Source organism: Homo sapiens, chromosome 20 (assembly GCF_000001405.40).
Source record: "Homo sapiens chromosome 20, GRCh38.p14 Primary Assembly".
Classification (NCBI taxonomy): Eukaryota; Metazoa; Chordata; class Mammalia; order Primates; family Hominidae; genus Homo; species Homo sapiens.
In genome coordinates, this window is record NC_000020.11 from 25,541,900 (window position 1) to 25,559,356 (window position 17,457).

The 17,457-nt window shown below is 47.4% G+C and overlaps 1 protein-coding gene across 14 annotated transcripts in view, besides 1 other annotated feature; it reads right to left on the bottom strand.

The window, feature by feature from the left end:
• The window catches only part of NINL (ninein like), a 132,835-nt gene that overhangs the window by 89,203 nt on the left and 26,175 nt on the right, over positions 1–17,457 (bottom strand). The gene's annotated exons all lie outside the window — the stretch shown is intronic.
• Positions 6,960–7,783: an enhancer, noted in NCBI's record as "H3K27ac-H3K4me1 hESC enhancer chr20:25529495-25530318 (GRCh37/hg19 assembly coordinates)". NCBI's record gives its function as "activates a minimal SCP1, AML or CMV promoter by ChIP-STARR-seq in naive H9 embryonic stem cells {active_cell/tissue: H9 hESC(naive)}" and the evidence as "EXISTENCE:reporter gene assay evidence [ECO:0000049][PMID:30033119]".

Here is a 17,457-nt window from a genome sequence, read left to right on the forward strand (position 1 = left end):
GCACACCAGCAGGGCAGGAAGCTCTAGGGGGTCAGACGTTCCCACAGAAACTACTGAGCAACTGCAATCAACTATTTCAAAACTCTGGAATCATTTCAGATCCTTATGGGCCTGCTACCATCCCTGTTCCTCAGCCCTTGTTCCTGCTGCCCTAGAGCTGGATGACAGCAGCCTGCACTCCTGGGGTGTCTGGCTGGTGCCAGAGTGGGCAGTGGGGACCCTGTCCTCCAAAGCATGGGCTCAGGGTTTTGGTTGGTCTAGTGGTTCCTTTAGGGAATGAAGCAGACTTTGCCTTGCATTCAGCCTTCCTGGGCTACAGAAGCTTCCCTCAAAAGCATCTATCAGAATATATAAAGGGATGGGAATACCTTTTGGGAAGGGAGAAACTTTGTCAGGTCACTGGCTGACTGTGAAGAACAGAAACTTCAGTCACTGCACACAGGAAAGATTACACAATTTGAAGAATGAAGAAAAATGAACAGAGTCTAAAGGTCAAGTGTACAATCATACACATCAGAGGAGACCAAGAAGAAGAATGGGGCAGAAAAAACATTCACAGAAAAAATGGCCAAAAACTTCTCAAATCTGATGAAAGACATGCATATTTGGATCCAAAAGGTAAGAAACCCAAAAAGAATATTCTTAAAGAGATCCACACTGAGACTCATTATAGCCATATGGTCAAACCTTAAAGGCAAATAGAGAATTCTGAAAGCAGCCAACCAGCAGCCCTCGAAGATGCTCTATGGAGTAGCCATTCTTTTGTTTCTTCACTTCTCTAATAAACTTGCTTTCACTAAAAAAAAAAAAAAAAAAAAAAAAAAAAAAAAAAAAAAAAAAAAAAAAAAAGCCTGGGCGTGGTGGCTCATGCCTATAATCCCAGCACTTTGGGAGGCTGAGGCGGGCGGATCATTTGAGGTCATGAGTTCGAGACCAACCTGGTCAACATGGTGAAACCCCCCCTCTCTACTAAAAACACAAAAATTAGCCAGGGGTAGTGGAAGGCACTACTCGCCTGTAATCCCAGCTACTTGGGAGGCCAAGGCACGAGAATTGCTTGAACCTGGGAGGTGGAGGCTGCAGTGAGCCAAGATCGCACCACTGCACTCCAGCCTGGGCAACAGAGCAAGACTCCGTCTTCAAAAAAAAAAAAAAGAAAGAAAAGAAAAAGAAATATGGCTTATGGTTTATTAATACGAAAGAAAAAAGTAAAATTATCTGTTTGTAGATGATACAATCTGTGTAGAAAATCCTAAAGATTACACAGACACACACACCCCCCTCCCAAATACCCACCCACCTGTTAGAAACAATAAGTGAATTCAGCAAAATTGCAGGATACAAAATCAGCACTTAAAAATCAGTTGCAGCCGGGTGTGGTGACTCATGCCTGTAATCCCAGCACTTTGGGAGGCTAAGGCACACAGACAGCTTGAGCTCTGGAGGTCCAGACTAGCCTGGGCAACATTGGCAAAACCCCATTTCCACAAAATATACAAAACTTAGCCGGGCTTGGTGCTTTGTGCCTGTAGTCCCAGCTACTCAGGAGACTGAGGTAGGAGTGAGGCAGGAGAATAGGCTCTGGAGGAGGGAACCTATGGCTGTTTCATGCCCAACTAAATTGAAAGGAAAATCCTAACTTTCGACGCCTAAGTAACAAAAGGACCAGAGGCTACTCAGGCTACTCCCTTTGCAAACTCCCAACCTTTTCTGCGTGGTAGATGGGAAATTGGCTGTCCGCAACCAATCAGACTGATTGTGGGTGGAGTCCTCCTTTGCAACTTTGTAACTTTACCTTAGCCTCTGATTGGCTGCAAAATGCAACCAATTAGATGTTGCACAAGAGTGTAACATTTGTAACTCCACTTCAGCCTCTGATTGATGTTGAAAGCAACCAACTGCAGGCCACCACGTCGTTTCCATGAGGTGAGCATGAAGTGGCCAATGGCAAACCTCTAGCCGGAGGTTTCTGGACAGGAGAAGATTCTACATGCAGGCCCTTGAGGCGCTGCCTCCCAAAGTGCTGGGATTACAGGCGTGAGCCACCGCGCCTGGCCTAATTTTTATATATAATGTAAGGTAAGAGTCCATCTTCATTCTTTCCATTACCACAGTGTTTTGATTACTCTGTGGCCTTGTAGTGAGCTTCAAAACTAGAATTTTGAGTGCTCCAACTTGGTTCTTCTTTTTCAAAGGTGTAAGAGAAACCTTGTCCAGCAGTGGTGACAAACCCACACTCACCTAGCCTCACTCACACATATTCTCACTTCTGTTCACTGCCCACAATTTGACGCGTGGAATCTGGACGGGAAAACAGTGACGATGAGTGGCCCCAGGCAACTCCTGGCTCTGGCCTCACCAGCATCCACATAATAGGATAAAAGAGGTGCACAGGACTGATGGGCCCACAGAACCATCTATCTTTAGACCAAAGACAATGAAGGAAGGGATCTTTCATTAGTTCTACTCTGCATCTCCTATTTCTCAACTTGTAGTAAAAGTAATGAATTACTTTCAAGGAATGAGCAGGATGCAGACAGATTAAAGAACACATTTGCACGTGACCTGACTGTGACCTGACTATGCTGAAAGGCCGCTATGGCATAAAATATTTGAGGTGCTTAGGAGAACAGGAAGTGGAATCTTTGGAAACTTCAGAGGCCATGTTCAGTCCCAGGGGCCAAGTCTTTGTTTCAGATGCACGGGTCCTTGTGAGAAGTCTGGCTGTTCTGAGTCCCACAACACTGGAGTCTGTATTTTTCACATTACGATTCCTAAACTCAACTCCCTCCTTTTCTACCCAAAAGCTAACAGCATTGGCATGAAAAAAGCAGCCACAAAAAGGTTTTTCCTCTGGCAGGAACCAAGCTGGGTGCAGGGAAAAGACATTTGCTAAAACAGACTTCTGGTTTCTGAGCACCCCAAACAACTTTTACTTGGTCTAATCATTGCTGGTCAATCTCCCTTGACAGGATGAATGTTTAAATAAACAAATCTGTCTTCAAGCTGCATTTGTTAAAACAGCAGATGGAGATTTAACTGAGCTGAGGAGGAACAGAGCTCTTTATCTCCGTAAGTATGACAAGTGAGATGAGGGACTGAGGCAGAAGTCTCAACCCTCAGGGCCTATTAAGCAGCTTTAGGGAGCATCCAGGAAAACCTGGGATAGCTCCATCTGTGGCTGTTTTCCTGAAGAGGTTTTCTGGAGGTTTAGTATTTACACATTCCTTTAAAGTGCAGAAGGCATGTAGGAAGAGGGTCAGGTAGGCAGTAAGGGAATGGTTCTATTCCCATGGGCCTTGAGCTGGTGCCCAGTAAATCTACATTTTACGTAAGATAAGGTGAACATTTGAAGAGGAGTAGGGACTAAAGGAGGAGTCAGTTCCACAGACATCTCCGGGTAGGTGGAGAAGGGAGTTTGTCTTTCCTCTGCATTTGGGAAAATAAGCTTGTAATCAACATTATCAGTGTGGCGTTTCAGGAGCCAGACTTAGACTGTAGACCTAAAGTCTCCCCTTTTCATACATTGGCATGTCCTCATGTATGGGAGGTGTAAACCAAAAATAAAATTCTGAGCCCCCCCCCATTATCTGAATGGTGCCCTCCTCTCAGCCAAGGGCATTCCAAAGTTATCCTGAAGAACTAGTTCAGGCATGACAGGATGGGGGGTTGGACTGCCCCATTATGCCCTCCTCCCTTTAGAATAATTCAGGCACAACTGACCAGCATTAACATTAAAACAGATCTCAAGACTGACAAGACAGACTCCTGTAGCAATAAGATACCAGCTTGACTCTAGCACAGCATCATAAGACAGATAGCAAGCCCTGGAAGTACTTTACTACAAACTATATTTCTTTGCCATATCTTGAAGTACTCCTGCAAAGTTGTCTCTTGTGGGGAAAATCTACATTCTGAAGAGAATCTCCTTCCTTTTCCAGGCCTTCTTCCTGATCCAGGAGAGAATCAGCTCTGATAAGACACATTTACAATGGATTCTCTCTGAAGCCTGCTATCTGGAGGCTCCCTAAGTATAATGAGAACCCTGGTCTCCACAACCCCTTTTCTTTCTTTGTTGTTTTGTTTTTATTTTTTTTTTTGAGACAGAGTCTCGCTCTGTTGCCCAGGATGGAGTGCAGTGTACTAATGTATGACTTTGCCTGTGACTTCTGCTTCCCTAAAATGCATAAGACAGAGTCGTGCCCTAACTGCCTCAGGACCACTTATCAAGGCTTCCTGGGTTTGTGTTTTCCCCAGGCCACGGTCAATCATACTGGCTCCGCATAAACCTCCTTAAGATATTTTACAGTTTGGGTTTTCCATTAACACCTTCACAGCATACACTTGAGTTTTTAAGGTTGAGCAGGTCCAGCAGGTTTCCCCCAGGTGGATTCTGACTGAACAGTTTATGAGTGATTTCTCCATACCTGTTATTCAATCCAAGCTTTCGTGGGTAAGTGCTTTCTTACCTGCCTGTGCCCCTCAATCAGAGCATAATGTTATAGAACATCAGAGTTAGAAGGTACTCAGAACCAAGAAAAATTTAACCCAAAAAAGATCTAGAATAAAATGCAGCTTTTGCTTCACCCTTAAAAGAGTGGGAAATTTGACTATATAAAAGTCACAATTTCTAAATAGGAAAGAATAAAATCAGAAGATAAATGACAAACAAGAAGGTAATTTTAATGTAAATCACAGGCCAAAGGTTAATTCCCTTAATAAAGAGCTCCTAAAATCAGTACTGAAACAACCTACCCTACCCCCACCCTCCAAAAGCAAAGGATCTAGATTACAAAGATGGAAATACAAATGGCTCTTGAACATGTGGAGAGATGCTCCACTGTGCTCATCGGGAGAGATACAAACCCCACCGAGAGAGAGGACTTTTCGCTTGTCAGACTGTGCCTCAGGTCAGCTGGGCTGCTGTGACAAGGCACCGTGGCCAGACAGCTGAAAACAGAATGTATTTCCCTCTGTTCCAGAGCCATCAAGAGGCGTCTCATCAAGAAGTTGGCGTGGCTTCTTCTTTGGCCTCTCCTCAGCTTGCAGATGTCTCCCCTGCATGTGCCTGTGTCCTCATCTGTTCTCATAAGGACACCAGTCATATAGAACCAGGGCCACCCTTATGGCCTCATGTGATACTGTGGTGTGGCAAAAAGTGTATGTTTAGTCTTGGTCCTAGGTTCCTGACATACAGCTCCCAAAACCCTCAGAATTTCCTGAGTAATAGGGAATTCTGTTATTCATAATAAGCCCCTTTCAACTACACCAGCGTTTATATTACTGAGGTGACTCTAGGAGGAAAGGGGCTGGTTACCAGATGGACCAACCCTGGGATTAGGATAATCCCACCCCCAGCCTCCAGGGTGGGCGGGGCTGCAGCTAAACCCCATCCACCTCTTCATCTGCTGTTCATCCACATTCTTGGTCACAGCTTCATAATAAACCGGTAAACATTTGTAAATGTTTCCTTGAGCTTTGCAAGCCACACTATCAGATGATCAACCCCCAGAGATGGTCTTGGGGACTCCTGATTTAAAGTCAGTCGTTCAGATGCACAGGTCACAACGTGGGACTCATGACTGCCTTCTGAACTGGGGGAAGCCAAATGGAACTGAGCCCTTAACCTATGGGGTCTGCACTAACTCCAGGTAGTGTAGAACTGGGTTAAATTCTAGGACATCCAGGGGCCTCTGAAGAGAATTGGAGAATTACGTGGTGTGGAAAGACCACGTTTGGTGTTAGAAGTGTTCTGCTGAGTAGAGAAACCATGTTTTCCATTTTACTTTTCACTTGATTACCTCTTTAAAGAACCTGTCTCCAAATACAATCACATTCTGAGGTACTGGAGGTTAGGGCTTCAACATCCGAATTCTGGGGAACACAACTTGGCCCACAGCAGACTGGCACTCTGTTGATGAAGCCATAGGAAAGCAGGCTTCATACACGCTGATGGGAAATAAACCGGGGCAACCTCTACGGACAGCAACTTGTCAGCATCAAAGTTTTAACGTGCATTTCCCAAAAGAAGATTCATTAATGGGCAAAAAGTGCACAGAAAGATGCTCAACAGTATAAGTAATTAGGGAAATGCAAATCAAACTAATGAGGTAACACTGCACACTGCCTGGGACAGCTATACTCCTGGGATCCACTGGGCAGATGCACTGCAATGCTGGTCTTCCCCAAGGTTCCTGCCCTGTCCCTCCTTGCCATGGGGGCACATTTAAGGATGGCCACCTCCACACAAGCCGGTCCAGTGCAGCTTGGTCGGGGGGGTTCTGCTGCACTCCTGGGCAGCTGTGTGGCCGAGTCAAGCTGCTTATGCTCTCTGGGCCTGAGCTGAGCTATCAAATGAGGAAGCCAAACCTGATCCCAGGCACCTTTGTGCTCCAAAATTCTCATTCTCTTGGGCCCAGCACAATGCCTTCTGGGCTCCCCTCACCACTGAGCTCCACAAGAGTCCTGAGGGGGAAATCAGAGGACACCAAGCAGCCTGGTCTTGGACAGGGTGTTCTGCAGATGGCCATTACCTGAGCGTGCTGGCCTATGGGCTGGCCCTGAGCACCCACAGCCACAGCTCCCACACCCAACCTTACACAGGGCTGACCTCGGCACCCATGGCCACAGCTCCCACACCCAGCCTCACCCACGGCTGACCCCGGCACCCGTGGCCACAGCTCCCACACCCAGCCTCAGTCAGGCCTGACCCCGAGCACCTACGGCCACACGTCCCACACCCAGCCTCACCTAGGGCTGACCCCGGCACCCACGACCACACCTCCCACACCCAGCCCCACCCGGGGCTGACCCCAGTACCCACGGCCACATCTCCCACACCCGGCCTCACCCAGGGCTGACCCCAGCACCCACGGCCACAGCTCCCACACAGAGACTCACCCAAGGCTGGCCCCAGCACCCATGGCCACACCTCCCACATCCAGCTTCATCCAGGGCTGACCCCAGCACCCACGGCCACAGGTCCCACACCCAGCCTCACCCAAGGCTGACCCCAGCACCCACGGCCACACCTCCCACACCCAGCCTCACCCAGGCCTGACCCCAGCACCCACGGCCAAACCTCCTACGCCCAGCCTCACCCAGGGCTGACCCCAGTACCCACAGCCACACCTCCCACACCCAGCCTCACCCAGGCCTGACCCCGGCACCCACGGCCACACCTCCCACACCCAGCCTCACCCAGGCCTGACCCCGGCACCCACGGCCACACCTCCCACACCCAGCCTCACCCAGGCCTGACCCCGGCACCCACGGCCACACCTCCCACACCCAGCCTCACCCAGGCCTGACCCCGGCACCCACGGCCAAACCTCCCACACCCAGCCTCACCCAGGGCTGACCCCGGGACCCACAGCCACACCTCCCACACCCAGCCTCACCCAGGGCTGACCCCAGCACACATGGCCACAGCTCCCATACCCAGCTTCATCCAGGGCTGACCCCGGCACCCATGGCCACAGCTCCCACACCCAGCCTCACCCAGGGCTGGCCCCGGCACCCATGGCCACAGCTCCCACACCCAGCCTCATCCAGAATCCAAGCTCGTCCCAGACACTGTCTCTCTGGCCGTTGCTCAGCATGGACCTGGCTCTTAATGGACCCTCCATCAATGTCTGCTGAGTCTCACTTCCCCTCTCCCTCTCCTGCTCTGTGCTAGGAAAAAGGCAATGTGAGTTTTTATTTTACATCCAAACAAAAGCTGGCAGCTCATCATGCACGAGTGGAACTAAATCAATGTCGTGGCCTGAGGTCGTGCAGCACAATGCACTCAGCTGAGCAGTGTCAGCACGGAAAGCCCACTCGGACCTTGGATCTCCAGACACGCCCATTCAGCCCGGTTTGAGCCACTCTTTCCAACCAACTCCACAATGTCCCTAACATGTTTTTTAAAAAATGTTTCCACACAGGAAAAGTCAAAAGTCAGGAAAATCTCAGAACTCCAGGTAGAATATTTACAAGGTTCTAGCTAAACCTGCCATACACACGTCTGCAAACATCCTTCTAAAAGGGGAAAACTTTTAGAGCCACAAGAATGAAATAAAGTGGATCAGAAGTAAATTCAACACTGAGAGGACAGTGAAAAGAACACATGAAACACTTGGCATCTGTGTATCAAAAGGAATTTGTCTCTCTTTCCAAACACTTTGGCTCACATTACGTTTACTTAAAGAAAAAAGGGGGTGGATACAGTGGCTCATGCCTGTAATCCCAGGACTTTGGGAAGCTGCTGTAGGAAGACCACCTGAGGCCAGGAGTTCGGGAACAGCCTGAGCAACATAGCGAGACTGTCTAGAAAACAGAAAAATTAGCCGGGCATGGTGGCATGTGCCTGTATTCCCACCTACTTGGGAGGCTGAGGTGGGAGGACCACTTGAGCCGAGAGGTTAAGGCTGTGGTGACCCGTGACTGTGCCCCTGCATGATGAAGGGGGCCTGCCCCTCCACACCTGTGGGTATTTCTCACAAGGTGGAGACAAGAGACTGAGAAAAGAAATAAGACACAGAGACAAAGTATAGATGAGGAAAAGTGGGCCCAGGGGACCGGCGCTCCGCAAGCAAGGACCTGCACCGGCACTGGTCTCTGAGTTCCCTCAGTATTTATTGATCACTATCTATACTATCTCGGTGAGGGGGATGTGGCAGGACTATAGGGTAATGGCAGGGAGAGGGTCAGCAGGAAAACATGTGAGCAAAGGACTGTGTGTCATAAATAAGTTTAAGGAAAGGTGCTGTGCCTGGATGTGCACATAGGCCAGATTTATGTTTGACTTTACAAAACATCTCAGTGCAGTAAAGAGCAGTATTGCTGCCAGCATGTCTCACCTCCAGCCATAAGGCGGTTTTTTCCTATCTCAGTAAATAGAATGTACGATCAGGTTTTACACTGAGACATTCCATTCCCAGGGACCAGCAGGAGACAGATGCCTTCCTCTTATCTCAACTGCAGAGAGGCCTTCCTCTTTCACTAATCCTCCTCAGCACAGACCCTTTACAGGTGTCGGGCTGGGGGACGGTAAGGTCTTTCCTTTCCCACGAGGCCATATCTCAGGCTGTCTCAGTGGGGGGAAACCTTGGACAATACCCAGGCTTTCTTGGGCAGAGGTCCCTGCGGCCTTCCGCAGTGCATTGTGTCCCTGGGTACTTGAGAATGGAGAATGGCAATGACTTTTACCAAGCATACTGCCTGCAAACACATTTTTAACAAAGCACATCTTGCACAGCCCTAAATCCATTAAACCTTGAGTCAATACAGCACATGTTTTCTGGGAGCACAGGGTTGAGGCTAGGGTTACAGATTAACAGCATCTCAAGGCAGAAGAATTTTTCTTAGTACAGAACAAAATGGAGTTTCTTGTGTCTTCCATTTTCTACATAGACACAGTAACAGTCTGATCTCTCTTTCTTTCCCCCACACATTCCAGCCTGGGCAACAAGGGCGAGACTCCGTCTCAAATAAATAAATAAAAAAAAAAAGAAAAGAAAAGATAGAAAAGAAAATATGAACCTGCCCCTAACAGATGTAGAAAAAAGAAGGTAGGGTGTTCAACAAAAATGGTCACTGAGGCAAGTGTCTCTATCAGCAGAGGTTTATTGAGCCAAGTCTGAGGACGCACCCAGGGAAAACACAAGCCACTGAAGCATCTGTGACCTCTGCTTTTCCAAAGAGGATGTGGGAACTTAGTGTGTGTGTGAGGTGGGGGCAGGCAGGAGGGAAACAAGGGTGGGGGCAGGGAGGCAAACGGTTATTCTTATGAGGCTCTAATAACTGCTCAGCACCCGTATGTTTTATATCAGATAAGGTAAATCTTTGAAAACAGGGAATGGAGGAGAGTCAAGCAGGAAGAGTGATTGATCCTGTCTTGAGCGTGTTCTGCACTTGGGAAGGTAAGCTTGTCATCAACATTGTCAGTGTGAGATTTAACAGGATTCAGTTTGAGGAGTTAAACTTGGCTTGCAGATCCAAGGTTACAATTGGCATGTACTGGTTTTACAGCAGATATGTATCCTGAAAGGTTTAGGGGCTAGCAAGGGATGTCCCTGTGAGCAATTTGTGAGGGAGGCCATCGGGAGGTATACAGCCTTTTACCATCCTGGGACCTGGCTTATGTCTAACACTATGACACATTGTTGTGAAGTTACAGCTCTGTTTGGGGAAAAAGAACAGCAGTTGCATGACTCCATTCCCAGGCTTAACTCTCCCTTTGGCATAACCAGTTGGCGGGGTGGGGATGGGGAGGTACCAAAATTTCATTTTCTTTTACAGAAGCTATTTCCCTCAAGCCTTTTATCATTTTTTTTTTCTTCCAACTCAAGTTAAAAATCTACTAAAAGAGCTGGGCATGGTGGTGTGTGCCTGTAATCCCAGCTACATGGGAGGCAAAGGTGGGAGGACCACTTGAGCCCAGGAGTTCAAGACTAGCCTGAGCAGCATAGCCAGACCCTCCCCACCTCAAAAAGAACGCTGACAAACTAACCATATACATAGGTTAAACCACTTTTCTAAAAGAGCTGTGAAAGAAAAAAATAAATCTACTAAAAAAAATAAAAGGTAACATAATCCTCTGGATTTGTAAGGCCAATTGCATGTTTATCCTATTAATCAAACAGTGATGCCAGAGCTTTTGTTCCAAGCCATGCTGGCACTATACAGACAGAGGCATGCTTGCTCGCCCTTCTGTCTAAATCACGGAGGGGCCACAAGCCTCCAGCATTTGGTCAAGCCCTGAAGTTTGAAGTCAACTCAGTCAGGTCTAGACACACCCCCCTGCAAGGCTGAGAGGTCCTGGAAAGAACCACATCCCAGGCTATGTCCAGGAGAGAAAAATAGAGGTGCTGAACAGGGATGGGAAAAGAAAGGAGACACAGAAAGTAATTCAGAGTAGCTCCAGGTGGCTCTTACAGCTTGGAGGACAAGTTTGCGAAGAGCCGAGCCTATCTGCGAAGGTCAGTAAACACACCGGGTTACTCAGGCCTTCCTGGAGAATCAGGGTCTGGCTAGAATCAAAGAAAGGCTGAGCTGAGACACCCAGGGAAAGTGCTGGTGCAGGTGAGGCACTCATGGAGTGGGGGTCTCAGCTCACCTTTTGCTTCCCCACGCAAGGGCACTGGTGCAGCGGCCTTGCTCACTGTGGCCCTCCACTTCAGACCCCACTATGCCTGGAAGTTACTTCTCACCCTTGTTGGGTTTTTTTTTTTTTTTTTGGAGATGGGGTCTTGCTATGTGGCCCAGGCTGTTATTCACAGGTGTGATCACAGCTCAATGCAGCCTCACATTCCTGGGCTCGTGATCCTCCCACCTCAGCTGCCCAAGTGGGTGGGACTACAGGTACCTGCCACCACATGCAGCTTATTGGAATCGTAATTGGCTTCAGACATACTGTTACAAAAAAAACCGAAAACAAAAACAAAAATCCAAAGGTTGGGGAAATGGCATTTTAAACAGAGCCACTCACTGGTCCCCGCCAGTACTGAGGATGCACACAGTACAGGCCCCAGTGTCTCCACTTCTCTAACCAATGGCTTGTGGGCCACATTGGGAAAGGTACTTTCTGATTTTCTTTAACATTAAAAACAATTTTAAGAAAAATAATTATCATTCCCATGGCAAAGATATTTTCCTCCAATGTGTAACACAGATGCATATTAGGCTGAAATAAATACAGCTAGGTTAGCATGAACACGTGTCACAAGTAAAGCCCATATAAAATCTCATTCCTTTAAACAAAAATGCACAGACTTGCACGCCATTATGTGAACCTGGGTCGAAAAAGAGTGTCCTTCACTTATCTTTCTCCCCAGGGAAGCTAAAGAGGAAGGAAAGAGCATCTCAGTTCAACAGGCACGATGGGAAGAGGTTCTGAAACAGTGGCCCATGGAGGTGACTCCGTTTCCTGCTCCCTGCTCACTCTGCCCAACTTGGGCAGCAGGAGGATATTCTGTACTTGCTGCCTCCAGGAGGGAGACAGAGCAGAACACCACAAACTGGGAGGCTCTTCTTGTTGTCTGAGGTTCAGATGCTCAGTCCCTGGACAGCAGCCAACAGCTGCAAATAATAAACATGCAAGCCTTCCAGGCAGCTATGGCTGGACCTGGCAGGCAGGGCACGGGTCAGGGCAGAAGGACCAGGCCTTCTAACCTAACCTGCAGGTAGGTGTGGGGGAAGTGAGAGTGAATTCACTCTTTCAGGCAACGTTCAGGAAGGGGCAGGAGCCCAGGCAAGGAAGGGCAGCGAGGTGTGTCGAGGCAACAAGGAGCAGAAGCTAAACAAGGAGCCACACAGCGGGAGGGCTGCACTCTGCGGAGCATGGGGTCAGGAGAAAGGTCTGTGTGCAGGGGACCCATGGGAACCAAGGCCCAAAGACAGACAGAAGGACAGCCCCCTGAGTGCCAGAGTGGACAGAACATGAAACCCCTGCCAGGTAGAGACATAGCCCTGGGTGACTTCTGGATGGATAAAAATGAACTTTCTGCCACCTGGAAGGGTATGGGCTCATGGAAGAGAACACAGTGCATCTCAGACAACAGAATGGCAATCTGCATACTGGAGTTTAAGGATCACAATTTATACAAAACCTATGGCTGTAGCCAGGTGCAGTGGTTCATGCCTGTAATCCCAGCACTTTGGGAGGCCGGGGTGGGTGGATCGCTTGAGACCAGGAGTTCAAGACCAGCATGAGCAACATAGTAAGAACCCTGTTCTTTACCAAAAAAAAAAACAAAAAAAAAAAAAAAAAAAAATTAGCTAGGTGTGGTGATGGGGGTCTGTAGTCCTAGCTATTCAGGAAGCTGAGGCAGGAGGATCACTTGGGCCCAGGAGGTCAAGGCTGAAGTAAGCTGTGACTGCACCTTTGCACTCCAGCTTGAGTGACAGAGCAAAACCATCTTAAAAACAAACAAACAAACAAACAAAAAACCTGTGTCTGGTAACTGCAGCATCAGGGACCCTGGGGAGCCCGCTTTGGCAGTATGTGCCACTCAGGTCTTTCATTCAGATTATCATAGCTCCACGGGCCTGAATATCTTGATTGTGTGCCAATATATTTAAAACTAGAAAAAATATGTGCCCTGGGATGATTTTTTTTTCCTCTACAGAGAAATAGCCATCAGCACCCCGGTAACAACCTGAGTCGAGATCACAGGCTGAGATGAATACAAACAGCGTTTGGTTTCTGAGAAGGCCAGTTTCCTTCCAGTTCACTCCTGTTCCTAGGGAATAATCTTCCTCATGGTCCTGACCCAAAATGTAGGCAGTCTATCAGGCGTCTAGCTTGGTGGAGCCTGGACATCAACTTGTGTCCACCTAACCCTGTGACACTGTCAGACATGGCTCTCAGGCACCTCTTCCGTAACGTACAGACAGGCCCCACAACAAAGCAGCCCATGCCACACACACCTGCCGAGGCTCCTACATCTTCCTACTGACAATTTTGATGGATATAGCCAAATTGCTCTCCATAGAGGCTATATCTATTTACACAATATACCATGGATAATGTTCCAGGTAGATAAATGAGAATTTTAACACATTTACTCTACGTAAAATTTGTACTGAAAAATAAATATTCAAAGGTAAATGTATACAAATCATGAGCATATGGCTCAAGGAATATTTACAAAGATAACACACTCATGTAACTACCATTCAGAACACGAAAGACACATCAGGCCAGACGTGGTGGCTTCTGCCTGTAATCCCAGCACTTTGGGAGGCCAAGGTAGGAGGATCGCTTGAGTCCAGGAGTTTGAGACTAGCCTGGGCAACACAGTGAGGCCTCCGTGTCTATCTTCCCTATTGCCCAGGCTGGTGTGCAATGGCACAATCTGGGCTCACTGCAACTTCCACCTCCCGGGTTCAAGCGATTCTCGTGCCTCAGCCTCCCAAGTACGTAGGATTACAGGCATGCACCACCACGCTTGGGTAATTTTTGTATTTTTAGTAGAGACAGGGTTTCACCACATTGGCCAGGCTGGTCTCGAACTCCTGACCTCAGGTGATACGCCCGCCTCGGCCTCCCAAAGTGCTGGGATTATAAGCGTGAGCCACCATGCCCGGCTTATTTTCAATAAAAAAAAAAAACAGGCCGGACACGGTGCCTCATGCCTATAATCCCAACACTTTGGGAGGCCAAGGCAGGAGGATTGCTTGAGCCCAGAAGTTCAAGACCACCCTGGGCAAACATAGTGAGACTTCATTTCTACCAAAAAGCAAAAAATTAGCCAAGAGAGGTGGCAGATGCTTGTAGTTCCAGATATTCAGCAGACTGAGGTGGGAGAGGACTGCTTGAGCTTAGCAGGTCAAGGCTACAGTAAGCCATGATTATGCCACTGCACTCTAGCCTGGGTGACAGAGCAAGACCCTGTCTCAAACAAACAAACAAAAAGTTTTATGTAACACAAAAAACTTTTATCTATTTAAAATCAAGGATGGGTACAGTGGCTCATGCCTGTAATCCCAGCACTTTGTGAAGTCAAAGTGGGAGGATCACTTGAGCCTAGGAGTTTGAGACTAGCCTGGGTAACATAATGAAACCCTGTCTCTAAAGAAAAATACAAAAATTAGCTGGGCATGGTCATGTGCAACTGTATTCCCAGCTACTTGGGAGACTGAGGTGGGAGGATCACTTGAGTCTGGGAGGTCAAGGTTGCAGTGAGCCATGATCATGCCACTGTACTCCAACCTAGGCAACAGGGTGAGATTCTGTGTCTAAATAAATTAATTAGTAATTAAATAAACAAAATTAGCCAGGCATGGTGGTATATGCCTATGATCCCAACTACGCGGGAGGCTGAGGTGGGAGGATCACTTGGGCCCAGGAGATCGAGGCTGCAGGGAGCTGAGATCGCACTTCAGCCTGGGTGATGGTGAGACTCTGTATCATGCATGGATACATATATAAGGGCCAATAATCCTACCAAACTGATCTTTCCCCAAATAAAAATGATAAACTTTGGATAGAATACAGAACACAACTACTAAGGGCAGATACCTGAGAGCAACCAAAAACAGGAGGATTCTGGAAGGGAGCTATGGGCACCAGGGGAGTTTCCCACCTCCACAGCTCCCACTCCCAGCTGGAAGGAAATGAGGAGTGATTGCTAACAGGTACAGGGTTTCTTTTGGGTGTGATGAAACTGCATTGCACAACTCTGCATGTATTTTATTTTATACTGAACTGCACACTTTAAACAGGTGAATTATATGGTATTTGAATTATATCTCACTTAAAGCCATTATTTTTGAAAAGTAAGTGGCTGTAACCTCTACCATGCATACTGTAAACAAGAATGCTGGAGAGACCATATTAATAGACTTCAAGAGGTACAGTATTGGTCAGGTGTGGTGGCTCACACCTGTAATCCTAGCACTTTGGAAGGCCAAGGAGGGTGAATCACTTGAGGTCAAGAGTTCCAGACCAGCCTGGCCAACATGACAAAACCCTGTCTCTACTAAAAATGCCCAAATTAGATAGGTGTGATGGTGCATGCCTGTAATTCCAGCTACTCGGGAAGCCAAGGGAGGTGAATTTCTTGAACCCAGGAGGCGGAGGCTTCAGTGAGCCGAGATCACACCACTGCACTCCACCCTGGGCAACAGAGCGAAACTCCATCTCAAGAAAAAGAAAAGGAAAAAAAAAAGAGTACAGTATTAATTACCAAAGATAGAAGGACTTTTTATAGTGATAATTCAACACAAAGATATATCATAAATGTATAAGCATCTAACACTAGAGCCTCAAAATAAAGCGAAACTCAACAGAATAAAAGAGAGAAATGGACAATTCCACAAGCATATTTGGATATTTAAACTCTAACTTCTTGACAATTGATAGAACTAGATATATAAAAAGAATTATCTAGATGTATAAAAAGTAAAGAGGTAGATGATCTTAACAACATTATCCACTTTGTTCAAAGATAAATATACTGGGCTGGGCGCAGTGGCTCACGCTTGTAATCCCAGCACTTTGGAAGGCCGAGGCGGGCAGATCACTTGAGGCCAAGAGTTTCAGACCAACCTGGCCGACATGGTGAAACCCCGTCTCTACTAAAAATACAAAAAAAAAAAAAAAAATGAGCCAGGTATGGTGGCATGCGCCTGTAATCACAGCTACTCGGGAGGCTGAAGCAGAAGAATCACCTGAAGACAAGAGGTGGAGGCTGCAGTGAGCCGAGATCATGCCATTACACTATAGCCTGGGTGAAAGAGCAAGACTCCATCTCAAAAACAAACGAAAAACAAAGATAAACATGCTGAGTAGAATAGGCAGTAATTAAGTCTTCATTTATTTATTTCTTTATTTATTTTGAGATGGAGTCTTGCTCTGTCGCCTAGGCTAGAGTGCAGTGTTGTGATCTCAGCTCACTGAAACCTCCGTCGCCTGGATTCAAGCGATTCTCCTGCCTCAGCCTCCCAAGTAGCTGGGAGGACACACACCCACCACCACACTGGCTAATTTTTTGTATTTTTAGTAGAGATGGGGTTTCGCCATGTTGGCCAGGCCAGTCTCAAACCCCTGACCTTAGGTGATCCACCCACCTCAGCCTCCCAAAGTGCAGGCATGAGCCTGCCCAACCCTTCATTTAATAATAATTTATTTTACCCCCTTGGAACTTATAATGATTTTTCAAATGGTCATGTCTTCCCAAGGAAGCTGACTAAGGTAATTTGCAATGATGCCTTTTTCCTTCTTGACCAACTTTTCTGAGTATGAAGACTCATTCAAATACATTCCATTGTCCTCAACATGCAGTCAGGTTGTTCTTTGCTCTTACATTTTAAAATAGTTACTTCCCACACCAAGGGACAAGAGGTCCTTGTTCCCTTCAGACTGTGTTTAGGCCAAGAGCAAGTAGGCAGGCAGAGGCACAGAGTACCTGATAATAGGTGTATTCTGAGAACTGCAAATGCAGAGCAGTAAAAAGCGGAGACGGCCTGTCCCATTCCATACTCACAGCAACAGACACTTGCAGATTCAACTGTTCATTTCTCAATATCAAGCCGCAGAAGCGAGACACACGCTTGCACCTTCTGCTTTTCCCAGCCAGGTTGCTTTGCTTCCAAGATCTTATGATATTCTCCAGCGTTTCACATGTTCTGTAACACTTTTAGTTTTCAGCAATTACCTGTGAGCTTCAGTCTCAAGAGACTTGCACAACTTTGCTCAACCTAAGTGATTATCACGTGATGACCTGCACAGAGCCTAAAAATAGGGCCACGTAAGGCAAGGTATCTGCTCACCCAGAAAGTCTCCTTCCTGTAAATGAAGCCAAGTCATTGGCTTGGGATAAGGCAGTGTGCTCAGCTCGGGGAGCAGAGGAAGGCCTTTTTCTTTTTTCTTTGAGATGGAGTCTCACTCTGTCGCCAGGCTGGAGTGCAGTGGCGCGATCTCGGCTCACTGCAACCTCCACCTCCCAGGTTCAAGTGATTCTCCTGCCT